General features: G+C 38.2%; 1 long non-coding RNA gene across 1 annotated transcript in view, besides 1 other annotated feature; it reads left to right on the top strand.

Moving 5' to 3' along the window:
- Window positions 1-3607: 3607 nt before the first annotated feature.
- The window catches only part of LOC124901704 (uncharacterized), a 95125-nt gene continuing 72447 nt past the window's right edge, over window positions 3608-26285 (top strand). The window contains exon 1 of the long non-coding RNA XR_007060445.1: window positions 3608-3738. This is a non-coding gene — a long non-coding RNA (uncharacterized LOC124901704). The remainder of the gene's footprint in view (window positions 3739-26285) is intronic.
- Window positions 6026-6546: an enhancer, noted in NCBI's record as "OCT4-NANOG hESC enhancer chr7:96898961-96899481 (GRCh37/hg19 assembly coordinates)". NCBI's record gives its function as "activates a minimal SCP1, AML or CMV promoter by ChIP-STARR-seq in primed H9 embryonic stem cells {active_cell/tissue: H9 hESC(primed)}" and the evidence as "EXISTENCE:reporter gene assay evidence [ECO:0000049][PMID:30033119]".

Here is a 26285-nt window from a genome sequence, read left to right as displayed (position 1 = left end):
AGCCCTGTCAGGTATAGTAGAGAGATATAAGAATGTTGAAGAGGCAGCCCTTGCTCTGTAAAACAGTTTTGCACTGTAAGAAAGGTCAGTACTTTGCCCAAAGTTATAAAGCTGCTAGGAACCAGAGCCAGGACTCAAACTAGCCCTATCCTGTAAGTAAAGAGAAGGCAGTGTGATTTGTCCCCAACCCCAAATTTGAGAGCTTTTCTGGCTCCTTCCTGGGAATTTCACTTTAAAGCCTTCTGACTGACACCCCTCCAAACACAAACACACACACACACACACATACACACACCACACACACACACACACACACACACACACACACACACAGCTCAGGTCAGACCTGAGTACCTAATTCTTCATTCTTAATAATTAATAAACAACCAAAATCACCAGACATATAGAAAAACACAGCTACATGAAAGGAAAAGAAACCAGACTATTTAACCTTGTACGTAATTGTTATAGAAACAAAACAGAGCTTAAGATGGGGGGAGGAAGCCCTTAAGAAGTCAAGAAACTTGAGAAGCTATTTCAACCATAAAACAAGAACAAGATACTAAGGAACCAATTACAGAACAAGGAAGAACTTTAAAAAGTTAAAGTAATTGCTCTAGTAAAACAATTCAGTAAGACGGATTGAAAAACAAAGCTGAGAATGGTTCCCAAACACAAAGCAAGAAGACAAAGATATAGAAAATATGAAATAAAGAAAAAAAAACAAAAATGAAATCAGAAGGTCTACCATTTGACTAACAGTGACCCCAAGAAAAGTGAATGGAGGAAATGGAGTGAAAGAAGTTAATAGGAAAATTAGAGAAAAAAAATTTCTGGCCACAGAGAAGGCACACAGAGTGCTGAATACAGTAAATAATATACTTTTTAAATCCTAGAAACATCCTGATGAAATATTAGGCTGCCAAAGATAAAAAGAAGACAGTAAAAGTTTCCGGAGAGAAGAAAATCAATAAGAAACAATTGAGAATCACATGGTTGTTATTTTTAAAACCAACGTAATAATGGTGGATTACCACAACCTTAATGTTATAGTCCCATCCATCAAGGTCCCTTTAGCCAATACCCAATATTGTTCAAATTGCTCATCCAATTCAATCAGGAACTTCTAAATATTTTACTCTCATAGACTGGCTAACATGTTTTAGTGCCTACTTCAACAATCTCTCAGCTGCAGTTTGCCTCTACCGCCAAAGGGACACAATATACCTTTTCCAGGCTACTCATGGGGTAGGCCTCAACAGTTTGGTCATCATGCACAGTCTCTGCAGACAAGTTCTTAATTACATCCATCATCTCCAGGAGCACAGTTACAGCATTATGTCAATGCTGTCCTCCTCCAATGAGGTTCATATGATACACTCTTTAAGGACATACAAGTCAATATCTTTTCTTACTTTTTGGGTTCTGAAGGCAACGTATTTACCATTTACAAATTAAAATCAGCAGGCACTCCTATTAATGCCCTCATTAATTTCCCTTCTCCTTCTCTGCACTTGAGAACCTCAGATTAATTCTGAGGCTTTGGCAACCTCTTCTCATGCTTCCCAAGATCTCCAAACCACTTCTGATGGCTATAAGTTGCTCTAGAGCCTCTGATGCAAAAATCTGCCTCTTTTGGCCTCAGGGTATACACCATTAAAACAATAAATGACTGTCTACCCACTGCCCTCTACTAAAAATACAGATTCTTGTTGACCTCGAGCCTGTGACACTCTATACCCAGGTGCTCATTATGCATTAGGTTATAGAAACAGCGCCCCACAAGCTCAGCATGGCTACTGAGGCCTCAATACAGGATGGAACCAAACCTGGGGCCTCTGGTATATTCCACCTGAAGGAGTTGGCTTCCCTTGTCCCCAGTTTCTTGCCAGATGCCAGAGTACTGGGGAAAGTCATTCCTCCCCCTGACCTCTTGACTATCTGGAAAGCCCCTTAGGATAAACTGAGTGAACAGTAACAAGAGTTTGTAGACTATGCATGCATGTGGCACTCTTAACTATCATATGTGATGAGCTTAGTGGAATACTGCCACTTTCTATCCCTTAGCCGTCATGTCCCTAATAAAGAATGGGACCCAAAAAAACACATTTAGCCAAACCTAAGAGAGCTCTCTTAGTACTGGATGTCCTGGTCTCATCTTCACTTTCGTTATAAACCCTTGGGTCATTACCTAAAACTTGTACCTTTCAAAATTTAAAAAAAAAAAAAATCTGGGAATCTCTCGCCTCACAACACCCAAAAGTTTATTTTATCCAGGTCTTGGCCTATCTTTATAAATTTTCAATCTTGCCCCCATTCCACAAGGGCTGGAGGCCAGATGGAAGGCACATACTTTCCTGGGACTCATTAATAATAGATTTTCCTATAGGCCAGGCATTTGCTCATCTGATAGATAACCCATTTACATCTAAACTTCCACATGCTCAAAACAAACAAACAAACAAACAAACAAAAAACACCCTGTCAGATGCAGCTGCACACCATTCTGTTGATGGCCTTATCACTATTGGTTTGGGCATTTATACTGATTTGCAATCCAGAGGCCTACATCAACTTAAGTAGGTACTCACTTAAAAGGATACCCCAGTCCTACAATCCCACACAAGCTTGCAAGGGCCCAAAATAATGCTTCAGCTGTCATTGCCTAAGATGACATTGCAAGACCATCCCAAGACCTTATTGTTGGAGATGACTTTGCCCCCTGTGCTGGAGACTTCACCTCTTACACTAAAGTCTCCACTCAGCAACACCCATGGGCTGCCTGTCCTAAGGCACAAAATTGACACGTTTAAAATGTTCTTTCTGAACTCACTGTCTGCTTAGCCCGTGATCCTGGTATAGTCCTTGTTCTCTTCTAAAATACACCGCTACACTTCCATGCCTAAAGGAAAACCTGATAGAGGTTACTAAATTAATGATGATTATTGCTTTCCCCAGGAGGCACCTATCTCATATTAAACAACCCCTTGGCCCCCTGGGGAGAAGACTGACTACTCTGTGGTGCCTTCTCCTACTGTAACCCCATCCAGCTTTCTACCACAGCCTCTTGACTTGCATCTCCAACCACAACCACTCCTTCCCCTTGGCTAGACACAATACCACTAATATTTACATATACTTTGCTCAATTATTAGTTCATAACCAACAACATAACTGCCATACTGAATGCTTACTTTCTTGGGAATGATATTATTCTCCTTGCAGTCAATATCTTCACCACTCAAGCTACAACTGTCTTACATTTAAAATATCATGCCAGGGCACCCAGAGGTGGATTGTCATCAATTTGTTTAATAAAGTGCTGCCTCAGCACCCATTTTTAGGACTGCCATAAGTTATTTGAAGCCCAGTCATATACTGTCACCTTTGGCCCAGTTAAAACTTTCCCTCCCTGTGTGGTTGTTTGCAATACAGCCCGTTTTTTCCTCATCTCATTGAACCAAACCCAACATATTCCACAGGTGCTGCCGTGATAAAACTTAATGGTTAACACCAGAGTCTTGTAAACAAGTTCCCCAATTCACAAGTGTTTTCTTTAAAGTAAAAAATTCACAACCCCTGAGGAAAGTGTAAGGGCTAACACCCGTGCACCTTAATAAAGACCTGGCCCCACAGCTCTTCTCTCTGTCTCTTGCTCCCCACCCGTTGGTTGAGCTCCCTGCCACCTCTAGCCTTCCCGTCAGCCTCCTGTTGACACCCCTAACCTCTATGTGATCTGTAAGTAATAACCTTCTTGTGTTTCATGCATTTGGTTTTACTTCCTCATTTTGTCTCACCTGCCTGATACACCCGAATCTAACTTTCTCCTAGTCAGGGCTCTCCTAGAAAGTGGTTATCTTGGTTTATGGTCACTCTTGAGAGAAAGACCTCAAAATCAAATTAAAAGTAAACCGTAACAATAGAAATCATAACAGTGACTTTTGCTATTAAGAAGGCAAATTTGCTATTAATAAGATGTACTATAATAGGAAAAAGCTATAACCCATAGACACATCTAACCATAGACACACTCAAAGCGTATCAATCAGCCCTCTGGATGGAAGCGTCTCAGAAATTAATCGAGAGTAGTTTTTGGCTAACTGCCTATGCTGATTCTCTGACGTTACAGAGCAGTGCATTCTAAGGGGACAAAATGACTTTATCAATCAAGGAAGAGCATGAATAAAGCCATTTTCAGACAAGCAATGACAGAAAATTTAGCCTTTCCTCAAAAGTCATTTAAAGATGTATTCAAAATGCAGGAGGGAAGGAAGAAAGCACAGTTTAAGAAAACTGTATAGCTCCAACCCAAAACGGCCAGGAGCGGGGATTCCTAGGACGATGGTTATGCAGTGAGCCTAGAAAGCAGCAGGTACAGACAGGAGCCAGAGGCTGCTTCAGAAGGGAGTTTTCAGGGACAGGGCTACTACAAACAATTGAAAAAATGCGTGAAAAGTGAATCCACATGATCATGAAGTTGCAACATTCTCCCTGGTGTATGGATCAGTTGGGGATAGTAACCCTGGACCCCTGAATAAACCCTGCACTTATCTCCAAACTACTAGTTGGTATTATATTAACAATTAATTGTTTGGTTATTCCACTTTCAATTCATACATGATACGGAGTGGGTGTAGGATAGAGAGGGATGGGGAGACTACAGCTTCTCAATTTTAGCTCTTTGTATTATTTAATTTGATACCATTACATATTTTGATTTTTAGAAATTTAGGTTGATAGAAATCACTAGGTATAACAAAATTTTAATATCGTCTGTTTACAAAATCTTCACTCCGAAACTCTCACTGTATTTTTCCATTAGTTGTATTCGTGCTGCCTCAGTTTTCTGGGAAAAGCCATTTTACCTTCCAAAAGGAATTGTCTTTCGCTTTTGGACAGAAAATAAGGCACTAATTACCTAATCCCTTCCCAGGAACTAACTTCATATAAAGACTAAAATGCCAGTACGGTTTTGATCCTTGAACAATACAGGTGTTAAGGGAAATAATCCAACACACAGTCAAAAATCCATGTGAAACTTTTGAACTCAGTAATTCCAGTGATAGTCTCTGTAGTAGTAAGTCCCCAGCAGGTCAGAACTGGGATCTGGAAAGTATTTCTGGAGACCTAGGCTAGCTTCTACTCTTTTGCCTGCCCTATACTTTCCTAAGCACTGATTCCTGCTATTAAATCTCTTCCTGATTAGTAATTGAAAGAAGCCATCATTTTTCTGCAAAGAACCTTAACTCCAAAGTTGTATTTGGTTCATTCTCTTTCATTACACCCCAAGCTAAGCAGTAAATAAGTCCTGCCAGTTCTTCTGCCATAATTTTTGTGCCCAGCCACTCCTTTTCCTTTCCATATTTTTATAATGTAAAGGGAAGAGCAACCTTGGATCCTAGAATCAACTGGCGGCCTTGCTATTCCTAAGCTATGTTTCTTTGGAGAAATCACTTAATTTCTTGGAATATTCCACAGTTGTAAAAGGAGATTGTTGCCAGTTTATAAGATATTGTGAAAATTAGAGATACTATTTGATGCTCTGCAAAAATCATCTGGCCTAATTTTTGGTATTTAGCCTTAGCCATGCTATTATTATTAAACTCCTACCTGCTCTTCTTGTTCTTGGATCTTTCTCAGTCTAGCTCTGGAAAGAGAGTATGTCCCGAGTATGTTTTGAATAACCATGGAAATACAAAAGTAGCCCTTGACCTCAAGGAGGTTTCATTTTAAATAACAAAACTGAAGTTTTCTGAAAAGCATGACTCAGATTTGAAAACAGAAAAAGTGACCTGAGATTGGTTTTGGGGGTTTTAGACTAAGAACCTTTTTGGTGAAATCAATGGAGGAATTTTTAGTGTTGATGATCTCTCTGACCAACCAGTGATTGAATTATTTTCCCTCAGTGTCTGAGATAAAAAGATTAACTTCAAAACTCAAATTATATTTGCTTTTGGAAAGATGGAGTAAGTATATTTTTCCCTATTCCTCCTGATAAGTGCAACTGAAATCTCTGGAAACAGTGTAAGACAAACAAGAAAATGCTGAAAGGTAGAGAAAATAAGCTGGCCATTAGGGAATATGGGAATAAAGAACAACATGGTGATGAGTTATCTGGGTATTTTTCTTTGGCCTCAAATATTTCAGACTGGAATGAGATTACCATTTGAGTTGGGAGCCTGAGTAAAGCAGATTGTTTTCCCTAATGTGGGTGGGCCTCATCCAATTACTTGATAGTCTGACTAGAACAAAAGGGCTGACCTCTGAGTAAGAGAGGATGTTTTCCTGATTGATGGCCTTTGAAATGGAACATTGTGTTTTGTTGTGCTGTTTTCCTGGCTTTGAACTCAGCTGAAACATTGATTCTTCCTGAGTCTCAAGCTGGCTTTTGGCCTGGACTACATTAGTGGTTATCCTGAGTTCTCAGGTTTTGGGGGGACTAGATTATTGGGAATGAAGAAGGAAGAGAGTAAGGAAAAATATGGGTAAACACTAGGCTTTCCTTCTCCTCCTAAGTTTTCTAAATTATGTTTGGTTGTGGAAGAAAAAAGTATTGGCCAGGTGTGGTGGCTCACGCCTGTAATCCGTTTATTTTACTAATAACTTCCCTACCTACCCCCACATCTACTCCTTGACACTCAAAACAACCTTCCCCTCCCCACCATGGATAACTGATACTTGACTTTTGTGGTAATAATTTTCTTGCTTTTCTCTACACTTTTCCCACCTAAATATGAGCTGCTATACACTATAGCTAGGCTTTCCAGATTTTCAGTGAGATTATTCTTAATCTCAATTATGTAAAGAATAATTTCATTTATGTAAAGATTAAACACCTGGAAAGCTAAGCTACAGTGTTTAGCAGTTCATACTTAGATGGGAAAAGTATAGAGAAAAACAAAATTATTACAATTTTATTACAATGTTGCTTACATGGATAAGTTCTCTATTTGTAATTTCTGAGCTCATAGTGCACCCGTCACCCAAGCGGTGAACATTTTACGTGATATTTAGTCTTTTATCCCTCACCCTCTCCCAACCTTCCCCCGCAAGTCCCCAAAGTCCATTGCATTCTTATGCCTTTGCATTCTCATAACTTACCTCCCACTTATATGTGACAACATAAGACATTTGGTTTCCCATTCCTGAGTTACTTCACTTAGAATAATTGTTGTTCATTTTTATTGCTTGACAGTATTTCATTGCATGTCTATTCCTCAATTTATTTCGTTTTATAATTAACATAATTCTATATGTTTATAGCATAAAATATGATATTTTGATATATGTATACATTGCGGAATGTCTAAACACCTTACTAATACTTTTTTAATCTTGCTAGTTATTACGGTAAAGGGATCCCCCAAGGGACACCATCATGACATAGCAATTGTAAATCCTAGGTTATATCCTGGAGTTTTTAAATGGTGCATCTACTCTCCACTCTTAGAAAGGTAGGTGATTTCCCAATTACTCTTTTCCAGGGGTCTTCTCCCCTCTCATTATCTTCATTTTCCACTTCCATCCACCTTCCAAAGACCACCAAATTCAATGTGGCATTCCCATTTGGCATTCTTGTTGTCCGAAAGAGGAAACCCTAGGTTATGCGTGGAGAAAATGAGTGTAGCCTGGAGACAGTGGCAGATTATTTCTCTCTCATGGCCCTCTTAGATTTTAACATGCCTCCCCCATGACTCCCTGCCAAGACCCTTTTATTTGCAAAGGTACCTCTATGGTCTCAGCCTCCAGACTTTGGATCACTTCATCAACTTAGAAACACTGGGGATTCTGTAGAAGTAGAGCTATAAAAGCCCTTTGAAGTCTAGAAAGAGTTTTCCATAATTCAGGCAGAGTATTCTTACTGGTTCCTACAGTAACGTTTCAAATGATGAAGAATGTTTCCACTGACCTTTCCTAGGCAACATGCATGCTAATAGTTCCAGTAGGAAATGTCTTTGCATGGCTTGGTACACTTAACAGGTGATTTACCAATGGTAAGAACAGAAGCAACAGACTTAATCTGGAAAATAATTTTAGTTGCAAAATGAGTAATAGTTCTTTTTCACAAATTAACTTTTATTGGCACTGAACTGGTACCAATACTGTATTTCATGGGAAATAAAGAACTCTGAGTAAATTTTTGAGCTCCTTATCTGTGAGCCACTGACCCACATTTCCTCCTTGAGTACACATACCCAAACCTGACCACTTATCTATACGTTTCCTTTCAAAAGAGTGCTGTGGGCCACTGCGCTTTCTAATAATAAAACTATTACACACTTCTTGTAATAATTTAGCTATATGAAAGTATGTGATATAAAATTAACTCTTGATTTTAATTAATCTTTCTATGCTTACAGGAAATATGTATATACACATATAAGGGTCCTTATATTTCTATTTTAATTTAAAAATCCAGACTATACATATTGTCCTAAATTTTTTCATATAACATATAGTAGACATTTTTCCAAATCAATCCTTTTTTGACCACATATCATAAATCACATATGCCACATATCATCTGAGTTTCTTATAGTGGAGAGGAACCCTCACATTGCCAGAAGCAGATAGAGCAGGTCTCCAGATAGCATGTGAGGACTACCATGTGCCTGTCAGAAATCCACACATTCGGCCAGGCGCGGTGGCTCACACTTGTAATCCCAGCACTCTGGGAGGCCGAGGCGGGCAGATCACGAAGTCAGGAGATCGAGACCACGGTGAAACCCCATCTCTACTAAAAATACAAAAAAAATTAGCCTGGTGTGGTGGCGGGTGCCTGTAGTCCCAGCTACTCGGAGAGGCTGAGGCAGGAGAATGGCGTGAACCCGGCAGGCGGAGCTTGCACTGAGCCGCGATTGCGCCACCGCTCTCCAGCCTGGGCGACAGAGAGAGACTCCGTCTCAATAAAAAATAAAAAGAAATAAAAAGAAATCCACACATTCATGATTAACATTTTCACATATACCTAGTCGTCTGTTTTTGGTGATAATGAAATAAAACCCCCCTCAACTAGAGCTCTTAATTGCTTGAGAGTAGAGTTGAGGATAAGGAGAAAATACTGGGGCTCTAAAAAGGGGAACCAACTTACAACTCTTAAATTATAATCAAACTAGTGGCCCCAATGTATTGAGTATTTACTATGACATAAGCATTGTGGTCAACAATTCACATACATTCTCACAACAACTCTATGAAATGGCTGCTATTTTCCCATTTACAGGCAGGGGGCTGGGACATTGAGAGGTAACTTGCTCGAGGTTATCTGGCTGGTAACTGATTACATTTTCAATTTTTTTTTTCTGATAAAAAAATATAATAGTACAAAACAATTTACAATAGAAGATAAATACCAATTCTGCCCACCCAAACGTCAGTTCTGTTATATGTCAGGGATAACTTCTTTTAACTATTTCTGGTTTTATATTTTCTGACGGTTACATAGCAATAAGTTATGATTTAACTCTGTATTTTGAATTAACACCTTTGGGCATTGTCTACTGACTCCTAACTATGAAAGATGGGAATTTAAGTCCTTATGTTACCCCCCAAACTGCCCAACTCTACTCTACATTTTTGACATTTATATTATCTTCATCTTACTGTATACTTTTATGATATGGAACATACATAATCAATGCTTATGACTTTTATTAAAATGTTTCAAAAAACATTCAAGTAGAAAGAAAAAAGATAATAGCCAGTAGAGTTTCTACTCCGAGATGCTTAACTATGAACATCAATTCTCATTGATATAGAACCTCAGATATTTAAATTATGGTTAAGAAAAATGTACTGTATACTTCCAAATAGCTAGAAGAGAATAATTGTAATGCTCCCAACATAAAAAGATGTTTGAGCTGAGGTGATGGATACCTCAATTACCCTGATTTGATCATTACATATTGCATGCAAGTATCAAAATACCACCTTTACCCCTAAAATTTTAGTGTACAACTATTATAGATGAGTAAAAAACTTTTTTTAAGAAAAGTTTTCATCTACCAGCAATGACTAAAACTCTAAAAGAAAGTAGAATTTAAAACTTGAAAGTAAAAAAAAAATCAGATATAGAAGTGTTTAGATAAATTGGATATCACATGTGAAATTCTAGAGTAGATGCTGAGTCTTTTTGAGATTTTTGCTTCCCCATTCCACTTCTCCTCAATTGATCAATGTAAACAGTTTCATGCATGTGTTTTCACACCTTAGATGGTGGTTTTAACATCAATGATGTATATAAATGTAGACCTATGCTTTGGTGGTGGGGAGGAGACTGTCATTGCTTTTTTTTTTTTCCATGTGATAATCAATCATATACATTCCAGAGTCTTGCTTTTTGTCACTCAGCTATACATGATGGAAATCTCTTCAAGTCTACTGTTAGAATTCAAGCTGATTATGTGTTTATTTTAATAAATATTAAGTTCCTTTCCAAAAGGCTATAACACTTCCTATTTTCATTAGCAATATGAGTACCTTCTTCGCCACTTTCCCCAGTTAACTGCAAGCTCCATAAGGACTGAGGTTTTTTTTTTTTTTTTTTTTTTTTGAGACGGAGTCTCGCTCTGTCGCCCAGGCTGGAGTGCAGTGGCGGGATCTCGGCTCACTGCAAGCTCCGCCTCCCGGGTTCACGCCATTCTCCTGCCTCAGCCTCCCAAGTAGCTGGGACTACAGGCGCCCGCCACTACGCCCGGCTAATTTTTTGTATTTTTAGTAGAGACGGGGTTTCACCGTTTTAGCCGGGATGGTCTCGATCAAGGACTGAGGTTTTTGTCTCTTGTTCACTGCTGTATCCTCAACACCTGGAATCATGCCTGGCTCATGTAAGGCACTTAATAAATATGTGTTAAATAGAAGAATGCATGAATAAAGAAATGCCAGAACTAGGTTCTCATTCTTGTTAATTTTTGCCATTGTGATGAACAAGAAGTGATACATGTATATTACTTTAATTTGCATTTTCCTGCTTTTTAGGGAGGTGAAACATCTCATGTTTATTAACCTCTGGGTTTTCTCTTATGATTAATTGCTTTTTCATAGCACTTGTTCACTTCTCCATTGGGTTATCTTTCTCATATTGATTTACAGCAGCTTTTTGTAAATTATGTCTACTAACCTCTTTTTCCATCATATATATTACAAATATTTTTTCACAATTGGCATTTGACTGTGGGTGTGGTGTTTCTTACCACACAAAAAGTATTAAATTTTTCTATAGTCAAGTATTTCCATTTCTTCCTTTTGGGTGTATTGGTAGCCAGGCCCAGTGGCATGCACTTGTAGTACCTCCCAGCTACTCAGGAGGCTAAGGCAGAAGGATTGTTTGAGCCAGGAGTTTGAGATTGTAGTACACAATGATGGTACTTATGCATAGCCACTGCATTCCAGCCTGGGCAACACAGTGAGACCCCCATCTCCTAAAAAATGATCAAAATGCAAACATACAAATTTTTTTTTTTTTTTGAGACAGAGTCTCTCTCTGTCACCCAGGCTGGAGTGCAGTGGCACAATCTCGGCTCACTGTAAGCTCTGTCTCCTGGGTTCATGCCATTCTCCTGCCTCAGCCTCCCGAGTAGCTGGGACTACAGGCACCCGCCACCACGCCTGGCTAATTTTTTTTCTATTTTTTAGTAGAGACGGGTTTTCACCATGTTAGCCAGGATGGTCTCGATATCCTGAACTCGTGATTCACCTGCTTCGGCCTCCCAAAGTGCTGGGATTACAGGCATGAGCCACTGTGCCTGGCCCAAACATGTAAAATTTTAAAAACTACCTAGTTCCTATTTTATGCTTACAGTCTCTGAAATTTTTTCCAGATTTATATTCTGTTTTAGTAAGTTTATTTTTACATGTCCTTATTTAAACTGTGTGTGTTCCAATAAAACTTTGTTTGTAAAAACAGGCAGTGGGCCAGATTTGGCTCACGGGCCATAGTGAACTCTTATTAGAACGCATCAGGGTGATAAAAATTGCAGGGAGGAGCCAAGATGGCTGAACAAGAATAGCTCCGGTCTACAGCTCCCAGCGTGAGCGACACAGAAGACGGATGATTTCTGCATTTCCATCTGAGATACCGGGTTCATCTCACTAGGGAGTGCCAGACAGTGAGCACAGGACAGTGGGTGCAGTGCACCGTGCGCGAGCCAAAGCAGGGAGAGGCATTGCCTCACTCGGGAAGCGCAAGGGGTCAGAGTTCCCTTTCCTAGTGGAAGAAAGGGGTCACAGACGGCACCTGGAAAATCAGGTCACTCCCACCCTAATACTACGCGTTTCCAATGGGCTTAAAAACCGGCTCACCAGGAGATTATATCCCACACCTGGCTCAGAGGGTCCTAAGCCCACAGACTCTCGCTGATTGCTAGCACAGCAGTCTGAGATCAAACTGTAAGGTGGCAGCGAGGCTGGGGGAGGGGGCGGGGCACCCGCCATTGCCCAGGCTTGCTTAGATAAACAAAGCAGCCGGGAAACTCGAACTGGGTGGAGCCCACCACAGCTCAAGGAGGCCTACCTGCCTCTGTAGGCTCCACCTCTGGGGGCAGGGCACAGACAAACAAAAAGACAGCAGTAACCTCTGCAGACTTAAACGTCCCTGTCTGACAGCTTTGAAGAGAGCAGTGGTTCTCCCAGCACGCAGCTGGAGATCTGAGAACGGGCAGACTGCCTCCTCAAGTGGGTCCCTGACCCCTGACCCCCAAGCAGCCTAACTGGGAGGCACCCCCCAGTAGGGGCAGACTGACAACTCACATGGCCGGGTACTCCTCTGAGACAAAACTTCCAGAGGAACGATCAGACAGCAGCATTCGCGGTTCACGAAAATCCACTGTTCTGCAGACACTGCTGCTGATACCCAGGCAAACAGGGTCTGGAGTGGACCTCTAGCAAACTCCAACAGACCTGCAGCTGAGGGTCCTGTCTGTTAGAAGGAAAACTAACAAACAGAAAGGACATCCACACCAAAAACCCATCTGTACATCACCATCATCAAAGACCAAAAGTAGATAAAACCACAAAGATGGGGAAATGACAGAGCAGAAAAACTGGAAACCCTAAAAAGCAGAGCGCCTCTCCTCCTCCAAAGGAACGCAGTTCCTCACCAGCAACAGAACAAAGCTAGACGGAGAATGACTTTGACGAGTTGAGAGAAGAAGGCTTCAGACGATTAAACTACTCCGAGCTACAGGAGGAAATTCAAACCAAAGGCAAAGAAGTTAAAAACTTTGAAAAAAATTTAGACAAATGTATAACTAGAATAACCAAGACAGAGAAGTGCTTAAAGGAGCTGATGGAGCTGAAAACCAAGGCTCGAGAACTATGTGAAGAATGCAGAAGCCTCAGGAGCTGATGCGATCAACTGGAAGAAAGGGTATCAGTGATGGAAGATGAAATGAATGAAATGAAGCAAGAAGGGAAGTTTAGAGAAAAAAGAATAAAAAGAAACGAATAAAGCCTCCAAGAAATATGGGACTATGTGAACAGACCAAATCCAAGTCTGATTGGTGTACATGAAAGTGATGGGGAGAGTGGAACCAAGTTGGAAAACACTCTGCAGGATATTATCCAGGAGAACTTCCCCAATCTAGCAAGGCAGGCCAACATTCAGATTCAGGAAATACAGAGAACACCACAAAGGTAGTCCTCGAGAAGAGCAACTCCAAGACACATAATTGTCAGATTCATCAAAGTTGAAATGAAGGAAAAAATGTTAAGGGCAGCCAGAGAGAAAGGTTGGGTTACCCACAAAGGGAAGCCCATCAGACTAACAGCGGATCTCCCGGCAGAAACTCTACAAGCCAGAAGAGAGTAGGGGCCAATATTCAACATTCTTAAAAGAATTTTCAACCCAGAATTTCATATCCAGCCAAACTAAGCTTCCTAAGTGAAGGAGAAATAAAATACTTTGCAGACAAGCAAATGCTGAGAGATTTTGTCACCACCAGGCCTGCCCTACAATAGCTCCTGAAGGAAGCACTAAACATGGAAAGGAACAATTGGTACCAGCCACTGCAAAATCATGCCAAATTGTAAAGACCATCGAGGCTAGGAAGAAACTGCATCAACTAACGAGCAAAATAACCAGCTAACATCATAATGACAGGATCAAATTCACACCTAACAATATTAACTTTAAATGTAAATGGACTAAATGCTCCAATTAAAAGACACAGACTGGCAAATTGGATAAAGAGTCAAGACCCATCAGTGTGCTGTATTCAGGAAACCCATCTCACGTGCAGAGACACACACAGGCTCAAGATAAAAGGATGGAGGAAGAACTACCAAGCAAATGGAAAACAAAAAAAGGCAGGGGTTGCAGTCCTAGTCTCTGATAAAACAGACTTTAAACCAACAAAGATCAAAAGAGACAAAGAAGGCCATTACATAATGGTAAAGGGATCAATTCAACAGGAAGAGCTAACTATCCTAAATATATATGCACCCAATACAGGAGCACCCAGATTCATAAAGCAAGTCCTGAGTGACCTACAAAGAGACTTAACTCCCACACAATAATAATGGGAGACTTTAACACCCCACTGTCAACATTAGACAGAGCAACGAGACAGAAAGTTAACAAGGATACCCAGGAATTGAACTCATGCTCTGCACCAAGTGGACCTAATAGACATCTACAAAACTCTCCACCCCAAATCAACAGAATATACATTTTTTTCAGCACCACACCACACCTATTCCAAAATTGACCACATAGTTGGAAGTAAAGCTCTCCTCAGCAAATGTAAAAGAACAGAGATTATAACCAACTGTCTCTCAGACCACAGTGAAATCAAACTATAACTCAGGATTAAGAAACTCACTCAAAACCGGTCAACTACATGGAAACTGAACAACCTGCTCCTGAATGACTACTGGGTACATAATGAAATGAAGGCAGAAATAAAGATGTTCTTTGAAACCAATGAGAACAAAGACACAACATACCAGAATCTCTGGGACACATTCAAAGCAGTGTGTAGAGGGAAATTTATAGCACTAAATGCCCACAAGAGAAAGCAGGAAAGATCCAAAATTGACACCCTAACATCACAATTAAAAGAACTAGAGAAGCAAGAGCAAACACATTCAAAAGCTAGCAGAAGGCAAGAAATAACTAAAATCAGAGCAGAACCGAAGGAAATACAGACACAAAAAACCCTTCAAAAAATTAATGAATCCAGGAGCTTGTTTTTTAAAAGGATCAACAAAATTGATAGACCGCTAGCAAGACTAATAAAGAAGAAAAGAGAGAAGAATCAAATCGATGCAATAAAAAATGATAAAGGGGATATCACCGCCAATCCCACAGAATTACAAACTACCATCAGAGAATACTACAAACACCTCTATGCAAATAAACTAGAAAATCTAGAAGAAATGGATAAATTCCTGGACACATACACCCTCCCAAGAGTAAACCAGGAAGAAGTTGAATCTCTGAATACACCAATAACAGGCCCTGAAATTGTGGCAATAATCAATAGCTTACTAACCAAAAAGGGTCCAGGACCAGATGGATTCACAGCCAAATTCTACCAGAGGTAGAAGGAGGAACTGGTACCATTCCTTCTGAAACTATTCCAATCAATAGAAAAAGAGGGAATCCTCCCTAACTCATTTTATGAGGCCAGCATCATCCTGATACCAAAGCCTGGCAAAGACACAACCAAAAAAGAGAATTTTAGATCAATATCCTTGATGAACATTGATGCAAAAATCCTCAATAAAATACTGGCAAACTGAGTCCAGCAGCACATCAAAAAGCTTATCCACCATGATCAAGTGGGCTTCATCCCTGGGATGCAAGGCTGGTTCAATATATGCAAATCAATAAATGTAATCCAGCATATAAACAGAACCAAAGACAAAAACCACACGATTATCTCAATAGATGTGGAAAAGGCATTTGACAAAATTCAACAACCCTTCATGCTAAAAACTCTCAATAAATTAGGTATTGATGGGACGTATCTCAAAATAATAAGAGCTATCTATGACAAACCCACAGTCAATATCATACTGAATGGGCAAAAACTGGAAGCATTCCCTTTGAAAACTGGCACAAGACAGGGATGCCCTCTCTCACAACTCCTATTCAACATAGTGTTGGAAGTTCTGGCCAGGGCAATTAAGCAGGAGAAGGAAATAAAGGGTATTCAATGAGGAAAAGAGGAAGTCAAATTGTCCCTGTTTGCAGATGACATCATTGTATATCTAGAAAACCCCATTGTCTCAGCCCAAAATCTCCATAAGCTGATAAGGAACTTCAGCAAAGTCTCAGGATACAAAATCAATATAGAAAAATCACAAGCATTCTTATACACCAATAACAGACAAACAGAGAGCCAAATCATGAGTGAACTCCTATTCACAATTGCTCCAAAGAGAATAAAATACCTAGGAATCCAACTTACAAGGGACGTGAAGGACCTCTTCAAGGAGAACTGCAAACCACTGCTCAGTGAAATAAAAGAGGATATGAAGAAATGGAAGAACATTCCATGCTCATGGGTAGGAAGAATCAATATCGTGAAAATGGCCCTACTGCCCAAGGTAATTTATAGATTCAGTGCCATCCCCATCAATGACTTTCTTCACAGAATTGGAAAAAACTACTTTAAAGTTCATATGGAACCAAAAAAGAGCCTGCATCACTAAGGCAATCCTAAGCCAAAATAACAAAGCTGGAGGCATCACACTACCTGACTTCAAACTATACTACAAGGCTACAGTAACCAAAACAGCATGGTATTAGTACCAAAACAGAGATATAGATCAATGGAACAGAACAGAGCCCTCAGAAATAATGCTGCATATCTACAACTATCTGATCTTTGACAAACCTGAGAAAAACAAGAAATGGGGAAAGGATTCCCTATTTAATAAATGGTGCTGGGAAAACTGGCTAGCCATATGTAGAAAGCTGAAACTGGATCCCTTCCTTACACCTTATACAAAAATTAATTCAGGATGGATTAAAGACTTAAACGTTAGACCTAAAACCATAAAAACCCTAGAAGAAAACCTAGGCATTACCATTCAGGACATAGGCATGGGCAAGGACTTCATGTCTGAAACACCAAAAGCAATGGCAACAAAAGCTAAAATTGACAAATGAGATCTAATTAAACTAAAGAGCTTCTGCACAGCAAAAGAAACTACCATCAGAGTGAACAGGCAACCTACAAAATGGGAGAAAATTTTCACAACCTACTCATCTGACAAAGAGCTAATATCCAGGATCTACAAAGAACTCAAACAAATTTACAGGAAAAAAACAACCCCATCAAAAAGTGGGCGAAGGACATGAACAGATACTTCTCAAAAGAAGATATTTATGCAGCCAAAAAACACATGAAAAAATGCTCACCGTCACTGGCCGTCAGAGAAATGCAAATCAAAACCACAATGAGATACCATCTCACACCAGTTAGAATGGCAATCATTAAAAAGTCAGGAAACAACAGGTGCTGGAGAGGATGTGGAGAAATAGGAACACTTTTACACTGTTGGTGGGACTGTAAACTAGTTCAACCATTGTGGAAGTCAGTGTGGTGATTCCTCAGGGATCTAGAACTAGAAATACCATTTGACCCAGCCATCCCATTACTGGGTATATACCCAAAGGACTATAAATAATGCTGCTATAAAGACACATGCACACGTATGTTTATTGCGGCACTATTCACAATAGCAAAGACTTGGAACCAACCCAAATGTCCAACAATGATAGACTGGATTAAGAAAATGTGGCATATATACACCATGGAATACTATGCAGCCATAAAAAAGGATGAGTTCATGTCCTTTGTAGGGACATGGAAGAAATTGGAAATCATCATTCTCAGTAAACTATCGCAAGGACAAAAAACCAAACACTCCATGTTCTTACTCTTAGGTGGGAAATGAACAATGAGAACACATGGACACAGGAAGGGGAACATCACACTCTGGGGACTGTTGTGGGGTGGGGGGAGGGGGGAGGGATAGCATTAGGAGATATACCTAATGCTAAATGACGAGTTAATGGGTACAGCACACCAGCATGGCACATGTATACATATGTAACTAACCTGTACATTGTGCACATATACCCTAAAACTTAAAGTATAATAATAATAATAATAAATTGAATAGGGAATAAAAACAAAAACAAAACAAAACAAAAGAACCCAGGTAAAGGTGGAAACCCATCTGCCATTGTTTTTTACATGGGACTCTCCTAAAGCATAATTCCTTATGTAAGTGCATTGGGCACACTCAGGCCACTCGGAGGAGGCAGGAAGTAGGATGCACAGGAGCCTCAAGCACTGGCTTCACCTGCACCAGCCATGTGGCTGAAAGCAATTATTTACTGCTCATGCCTTAGCTTCTCATCTGTGAAATATTTGGGAATATAGTTTGAAATAAGTCACCCAACTTAATTTTTTCAAGTAGATAGCCATTGCTATCAATAAAGTTTATTAAACTATCCTTTTCATACTAAATTAAACTATTACCTGTCATATATTAATTTTCTAATTACTCTGCAATGTATTATGATAGCCTCTATTTTGTCTCATTCACCTAAATATATTTCTCTGGCTAATATGCTATTTCAATTGTGTGGCTCTATTTAATAAATTTCCCCCTCACAGCTTTTATTTTTGATAATTTGTGACTGTTCATATAGTCTTGTATTAAAATTTAAGATAATTTTATCCAATATTCCCCCCAAAAAGCATTGGAATATTAATTAAAATTGAATTATATATAAAGCTTGAAATAATTGAATTTTTATCATTTGTTTTCCCACTTAATAATGTTAAATGTCTCTTATTTGTCTTTCAATAAGTAATTTCTTCATGTTGATCCTATACATTTTTTGTTAAATTCATATCTAAATACTTTACAGCTTTATTGCTATTAATAATAGATTTTCTATCTTATATTACTAGAGATGTTTGAAATTGTATATATTTTATATTCACTCACATTAATAAATAACCTTTGATTTTTATACTTAAAGTTTTGATTTTTATAGTTTTTAAGAAGTAAGCCTTCTAGAACTTTGTGGGGATAAAATTTAATGATCGGCAAAAGAGGTCACTTCTTTTTTTCAAAAGCTATGCCAATGATTTCATTTTCTCATCTTATATTCTATGTAATCTCTAGTCAAATGATAAATTATAACTGTGATAGTTTTAAAATATATTTTTGTGGGAAACTTGAGTTTTATTGGTTCCTGTTCTTGTTTTCTATTTGTATAATCACATAATTTTTATTGATAGTCTGATTTTGGATCATATTTGCATGCTAGGATAAAATCCTGCTTGGTATTATTGCATTATAATTTTCCTATTTGGCTAGATTTAATTTGATTTTTTTTTTTTGGTGAGAAAGTCTCGCTTTGTTGCCCAGGCTGGAGTGCAGTGGTGCAATCTTGGCTCACTGCAACCTCCGCCACCTGGGTTCAAGCAGTTGTCCTGCCTCAGATTCCCAAGCAGCTGGGATTACAGGTGCATGCCACCACACCTGGCTATTTTGTATTTTTAGTAGAGACAGGTTTTCACCATGTTGGCCAGGCTAGTCTCGAGCTCCTGACCTCAAGAGATCCACCTGCCTCGGCCTCCCAAAGTGCTGGGATTACAGGCATGAGCCACCACACCCAGCCTGATAATATTTTGATGTAGAATTTTTACACGAGTCAGATTGGTCTACAGTTTTGTTTTTGTTTTTGTTTTTGTTTTGAGACGGAGTCTCGCTGTGTAGCCCAGTCTGGAGTGCAGTGGCTGGGTCATTGCAACCTCCGCATCCGGGGTCCTGGTTTGAGCAATTCCACCTCAGCCTCCCTGAGTAGCTGGGATTACAGACACACGCCACCATGCCCAGCTAATTTTTGTATTATTAGTAAAGACAGCGTTTCACCATGTTGGCTAGGCTGGTCTTGAACTCCTGACTTCATGATCTGCCCGCCTCAGCCTCCCAGAGTGCTGGGATTACAGGCATGAGCCACTGCGACCAACCTAGTTTCCTTTTTTACACTGACTTCATCAGCTTTTGCTGTTTAACTTGAATGCTGGCTTCATGAAATTGTTGCAGTGTTCATGCTTTGTCTGGAATTGTTTAACATTGTAATTGGCTATTCGTGAAGCTATTTGCTTCTGGTATCTTTTGTAATGAAAAATTTTGACTCTCAATTTTTTAAATTGAATTGATCCATTGAAATTTTTAACTTATTTTTGGAATAATTATGTTAATTTATATCTTTTAACAAATAATCTTTTTCTGTAGGTTTTCAAATTTGTTGCCAGAGTAGTTGCAGATAGTACTGTTACAATTATTTTAATCTCATTCACTTTCATGCTTATTTTCCTTATTTTGCCATTGATAGTCTTGTATGATTTTGCTATTGCCGTGTTAATTCTTTCCCTATCAGGCTCTTAAAGGTATTATCTATTTTTTATTGCTTTTTCATTTTCTAAAGATGGATACAAAATTCCTTTATTTTAGCATTGTATCTTTAATACTAAGTACTTTTAAACCTATAAGTTTTTCTCTGAACTGCTTCAACTGAGTCCCATTGGTTTAATACGAGGTGTTCTGTTTTATTGCTTTATAAATATCTTGTCATTTCAGTTTTAATGTCCTCTTTGATTCAGGGATTATTTAGACTCTTTAAATTTTAATCAGTTAAGTTTTTATAATTCATCTTCTAATTTCTAATTTCATCAGATAAAGATCAGAGTACATGGCCTAAAGAATTCTCAACTTTATTTTTAAAAATGGTAAGGTTTTATTTGTGGTAAAACACAAATTTATAAAGAAAAATATTTAGATATATATTCTATCTATGACACTAAAAATTCTATACCTAGCTATTAAATAAAACTGTAGACTCTCTATATTCCTTTTATTGTATAGTATATCTTATTCTAAAAAAAAATTAAAATATTTATTGTACTTTCATCAACATATTTTTGCATATCTAATAGTAGTTTCTTTATACAGTTAGCTGCATTGTCATTGTATGCATATAATTCATCATTGTTAAATCATCTTCATAAACTGTACTTATGATGCATCTACTTTTTAAACTCATTTTTATTGGCAAAAATTGTATATATTTATGGTATACAACATGTTTTCATCTATATACATTGTAGAATCAATGTATCAATGTTAGTCAAGATAATTAACTATGCATTACTTACATTTTGTGGTGAGAACACTTAAAATCTACTCTTAGCCGTTTTCAAGTATATAATACATTATTGTTAACTATATTCACCGTGATAGTTCACCATGATAGATCTGTTGAACTTATTCCTCTTGTCTAACTGAAGCTTTGTATCCTTTGATCAACATTTCCCTAATGCCCTCCCATTCCCACCCAAGCCCCTGATAAGCAATATCCTACTCTCTACTTCTATGAGTTTAGCTTTTTTAGACTCCACATCTAAGTGAGATCATGCAGCAGTATTCAACCTTCTGTATCTGGTTAATGTCAGTTAACATAATGTCTTCTAGGTTCATCCATGTTGTTACAAATGGCAGAATTTCCTTTTTCAATGCTGAATAGTATTCCATTGTATATATCTATATCACATTTTCTTTATTCATTCATCTATCAATACATACTTTGGTTGATTCCATATCTTAGCTATTGTGAATAATGCCACAATGAATGCGGCATGCAGATATCTCTTCAATAAACTGAATTTATTTCCTTTGGATATATACTCTTGCTGGATCATATGATTGTTTTACTTTTAACTTTTTTAGGAAACCCCATACTGTTTTCCATAATGGCTGTACTAATTTCTACCAACAGTGTACAAGGGTTCCTTTTTCTCCACATCCTTGCCAACATTTTCTATCTTTTCTTTTTGGTAATAGCTATTCTAACAGATGTGAGGTGGTATCTCATTATGGTTATAATTTGCATTTCCCTGATTAGTGATATTAAGCATTTTTATATATTAAAAATGTGACCGTTTCTATGTTTTCTTTGGCTTAAATGTCTATTCAAGTCTTTTGCCCTTTGTTTGAGTTATTGTCTTACTATTGAGTTGTTTTAGTTCCCTGTATATTTTGGATATTAACCCCTTATCAGATGTATAGTTTGCCAATATTTGCTCCCATTCCACAGGTTGCCTCATTACTCTGTTTTCTTTGCTGTGTAGAAGCTTTTTAATTTGATACAATCCCATTTGTCTTTTTTTGTTTTTTGTTGTTTGTGATTTGGGTCATATCCAAACAGTCATTTCCCAGACCAATATACCAAGAGGTTTTTTTTTCTGTTTTGTTTGTTTTTTGTTTGGTTTGGTTTTTTAGTAGTGTACAGTTCATGCCTTACATTTAGGTCTTTAATCCATTTTCAGTTGAATTTTATATATGACATGAGATAAGTGTCTAATTTCATTCTTCTGCATGTGGATATCCAGTTTTTCCAACACCATTTATTGAAGAGGCTGTCCTCTTACTGTGCATTCCTGACACCTTTGTCAAAGGTCTATTGACTATAAATGCATGAGGTTTATTTCTGTGCTCTACATTCTGTGCTCTACGTGGTCTATTTGTCTGTTTTTATGTTAGGATCATGCTGTCTTTGTAGTAGATTTTGAGATTAGTAGTATGATGCCTCTAGTTTTGCTCTTTTTGCTCAGGGTTGCTTTGGCTACTTGGGGTCTTTCAGGGTTTTTTATTTCTGTGAAAAAATGTCAATGGAATTTTGATAGCAATTGTATTAAATCTGTAGATTAGATTGGGTAGTATGGACATTTTAACAATATTCTTCCAATCCATGGACACTGGATATTTTTCCATTTATCTGTGTTTTCAATTTCTGCCATCAGTGTTTTATAGTTTTTAGTATATAGATCTTTCACTTCCTTGGTTAAATTTATTCCTAAGTATTTTATTTTATTTTTGTAGCTATTGTAAACTGGATTGTTCTCTTCATTTCTTTTTCAGATTGTTCATAGTTACTATACAGAAACACTACTTATTTCTGTACATTGATTTTGTAGCCTGCAACTTTACTGAATTTGTTTAGTAGTTCTAAAGATTTTTTGGTGGAATCTTTATGGTTTTCTATATACAATTATGTGTCACTTAAGGGTAGAATGCATTATGAGAAATGCACTGTTAAGTGATTTTTGTCATTGTGTAAACATCATAGAGTATACTTACACAAAACTAGTTGGTAGAGTAAAAATAAGGTTTTCATTATGGCCTTATGGGGCCACCATTGTATATGCAATCTATCACGGACTGAAACATCATTATGTGGCACATGACTATATAAGATCATGTCATTTGAAAACAGGGACAATTTAGATTCTTCCTTTCTGGTTTGTATGCCTTTTACTTCTTTCTCCTTCATAACTGCTCTGGCCAGGACTTCCAGTACTATGTTGAATAGAAGTGGAGATGCTATTTTTTCTGATATTAATATAGCCACTCGTGGGAAGCCCATTGTTAAGTTTGTGGCTCCCAAAGTGTCATTAGGTGTAGAAAACTACTATATGGCAGTATTAACACATAAACTATAAAACTTTCTATTTCCTGGATTATTCATTTAATTTCTCTAGAGTAAACCTCTCAGATTTTTGGCCTGGGAATATATTCTCTCTGGTCTGTATTTAGGGAGGTTGAGGATAGGATTATATACGAAGATATCTTTACCGGTAAATTTTTCTTCGTCAACCTCACTTTTTATTCCTGGCCTCGGTTACAACTGCTGAGTCTAAATCAGAATTAATCTGAGGTTCCCATGCAGAGAAGGAGAAGGGAAATTAATCTGAGAACATTTATTTGCTTAGGAAAGTTCAAGATCTGTTAGTACAAATACTTGTTAATATTCCTGAGGGCACAGGATTGGCAGAAGATGGAAGTTTGGCTGAAGAGCCAGGAAAATGTATTTTCTCTCCATTCGTCCGTCATAAGAAGGCTTCTGTAGAGATTACTAGTTGCCCCAACTTTATCTTTTTCTTTCCAGACAACATGGTTGTTCCCAGTGCAATATCAGGACAATTAACAATGAGGCATTTTGGTTTCTATCAGGTTGTAAGCATGGAAAGATAGATTCTTCTCATGATTCCATTATTGACTATGGGTCTATGATTGGAAATAGTACCTAGTGGTAAAAGATATGAGTTTAGACATAGACTTCATTGACTCAAATCCTGGTTCCATCATTTAGCAATTTTTGTACCCTTGGCCAAGTGTCTTCATTTCTATAAACTTCAGTCCTCAATTTAAGAGGATGGCTATAATTATGCCTATCTCAGGGTTAACATGAGGAGTAAATGATACAATGTGTTTGTGTTTAATACACCACCTGCCACCCAGAAACCTCTTAATAAGCTGTAGCCATTGTTGCTACTGTTATTAATATTGCTGCGTAACATGCTTCAGTTTTCTCATCTTAAGATGAAGTGGGTGGCAGTTAATTTAATTGCTATCTCCTTAGAAATGTGCACATGCAGATTTTCTCTGACAGCCTCTCTGGCTTAAATGTATTTAAATCTATTTTAAACGTTGAGACATATAGTTCTTGTTGTCTGACATGGTATTAGTTTCATCCCATTATCAGCTCCCTGTGGTGCTCAATGCTTACCACTTACTAATTACTATAGCCCACCTAGTACTTAGAACACCACTCCTGTAGCTTCGTTTTCTCAGCAGCAATTGTCTGTTACACTTTTGACTAAAGGACTTGTGTTACATTTCTGGCCTTGAGGCACAGGAAGAGAGTGCCTCAAGGTTGAGGGAGTCCATGTTTTTTTGTTTGTTTGTTTTTAATCTAAAACAAAATGAGAATTACAAAGGAACTCTGAATTTATACAAATCCCAAACAACACATTGGAATTTTGTTGGCCTTCACTAAGGAAGTAGAAAACCAGATTTATTTATTGACAAAAGATGACAATAAAACACTGTAAAACTAAGAATGAGCACTTAGCTGAAGTCCATGAAGGGAGAAAGAAATGAGATTCAAATAAGCCTAAGAAAAGTTAAAGCAAAAATTATAAGGACAGACTGTGCAATATGCTAATGCTGTTTGTATTAATATGTCAAACAGGCATTTTTTTCTTTTAAAAATGCTCATAGGGATGTGACTAATATAAAGTTTTAGACTAATCTAAAAAACATGTTTAATCACAGTTTAATGAATTAGGCAATAGTCATCAGTCTTATCTATACTTTATAGAGTCCAAGGCAAGTGTGTCAGTCACAAAGTAAAACCAGCCATTTTGCAAAAGAGGACAGGCGTTGGAGTTAGGGCTGGCTCTGAAATCTGACTCTGTGATTTACTATCTTGGTGACTTCAGACATGTTTTTGTTTCACCTTTGAGCCCCAGTTTCCTCAATTATAAAATGTCAGAACAGCTACCTTAAAATATTGCTGCAGTGACTGGAGATAATGCTCATGGCTTAGAATATATAAGATAATTAAATGGCAGCTATTGAGACCAAAGGATCATGTGTCAGTACTGATGTGAGAAGTATACAGGTATTTAAATTTGTATTAAGATTTGTGTATCATCACCATGGAATACTATGTAGCCATATAAAGAAACGAGATTATGTCCTTTGCAGGGACATGGATGGAGCTGGAAGCCATTATTATCAGCAAACTAATACAGGAATGGAAAACCAAACACTGCATGTTTTCACTTACAAGTGGGAGCCAAACAATGAAAACACATGGACACATGGGGATGGATAACACCCACTGGAGCCTGTCAGAGGGGCAGGGGGAGGGAAAGCATCAGGAAGAATAGCTCATGGATGCTGGGCTTAATACTTAGGTAATGGGTTAATCTGTACAGCAAATCACCATGGTACATGTTTACCTAAGTAACAAACCTGCACATCCTGCACATGTACCCCAGAACTTAAAGTTGAAAAAAAAATGATTTATTTGTGTATTGGAAGGAACTTAACCTTGCCTAAAGGGAGGTCTGGCCTATGCTGTCAGCTCCTGGGAGGTAATCTTCAAGCTCTTAGAATGTCCTGCCTCATAAAGATGTTTTCTTTTTTTTTTTAACCTGGGGGCCTTGGATCACACCAGATAATCTAACAGTATGACTGGAGGACAGTAGTCCTGAGTTGAGTGAGAGTGAGTTCAGCCATGTGGATGGCCAACCATGTCCACATGACTGAGCCCCATATAAATTCTGGACTCGAAGCTCAGGTGAGTTTCTCCGGTGGGCCCTATTCCGTGTGTACTATCAGACTTAATTTTCAGGAGAAGCAAACACAGGCCATGACTCCAGAGGGAAAGGACAGCTGGAAGA

The sequence above is a fragment of the Homo sapiens genome, chromosome 7, assembly GCF_000001405.40.
Source record: "Homo sapiens chromosome 7, GRCh38.p14 Primary Assembly".
Taxonomy (NCBI): domain Eukaryota; kingdom Metazoa; phylum Chordata; class Mammalia; order Primates; family Hominidae; genus Homo; species Homo sapiens.
Note: the sequence above shows the minus strand (reverse complement) of the source record. Positions and strands in the feature narration are given on the sequence as shown.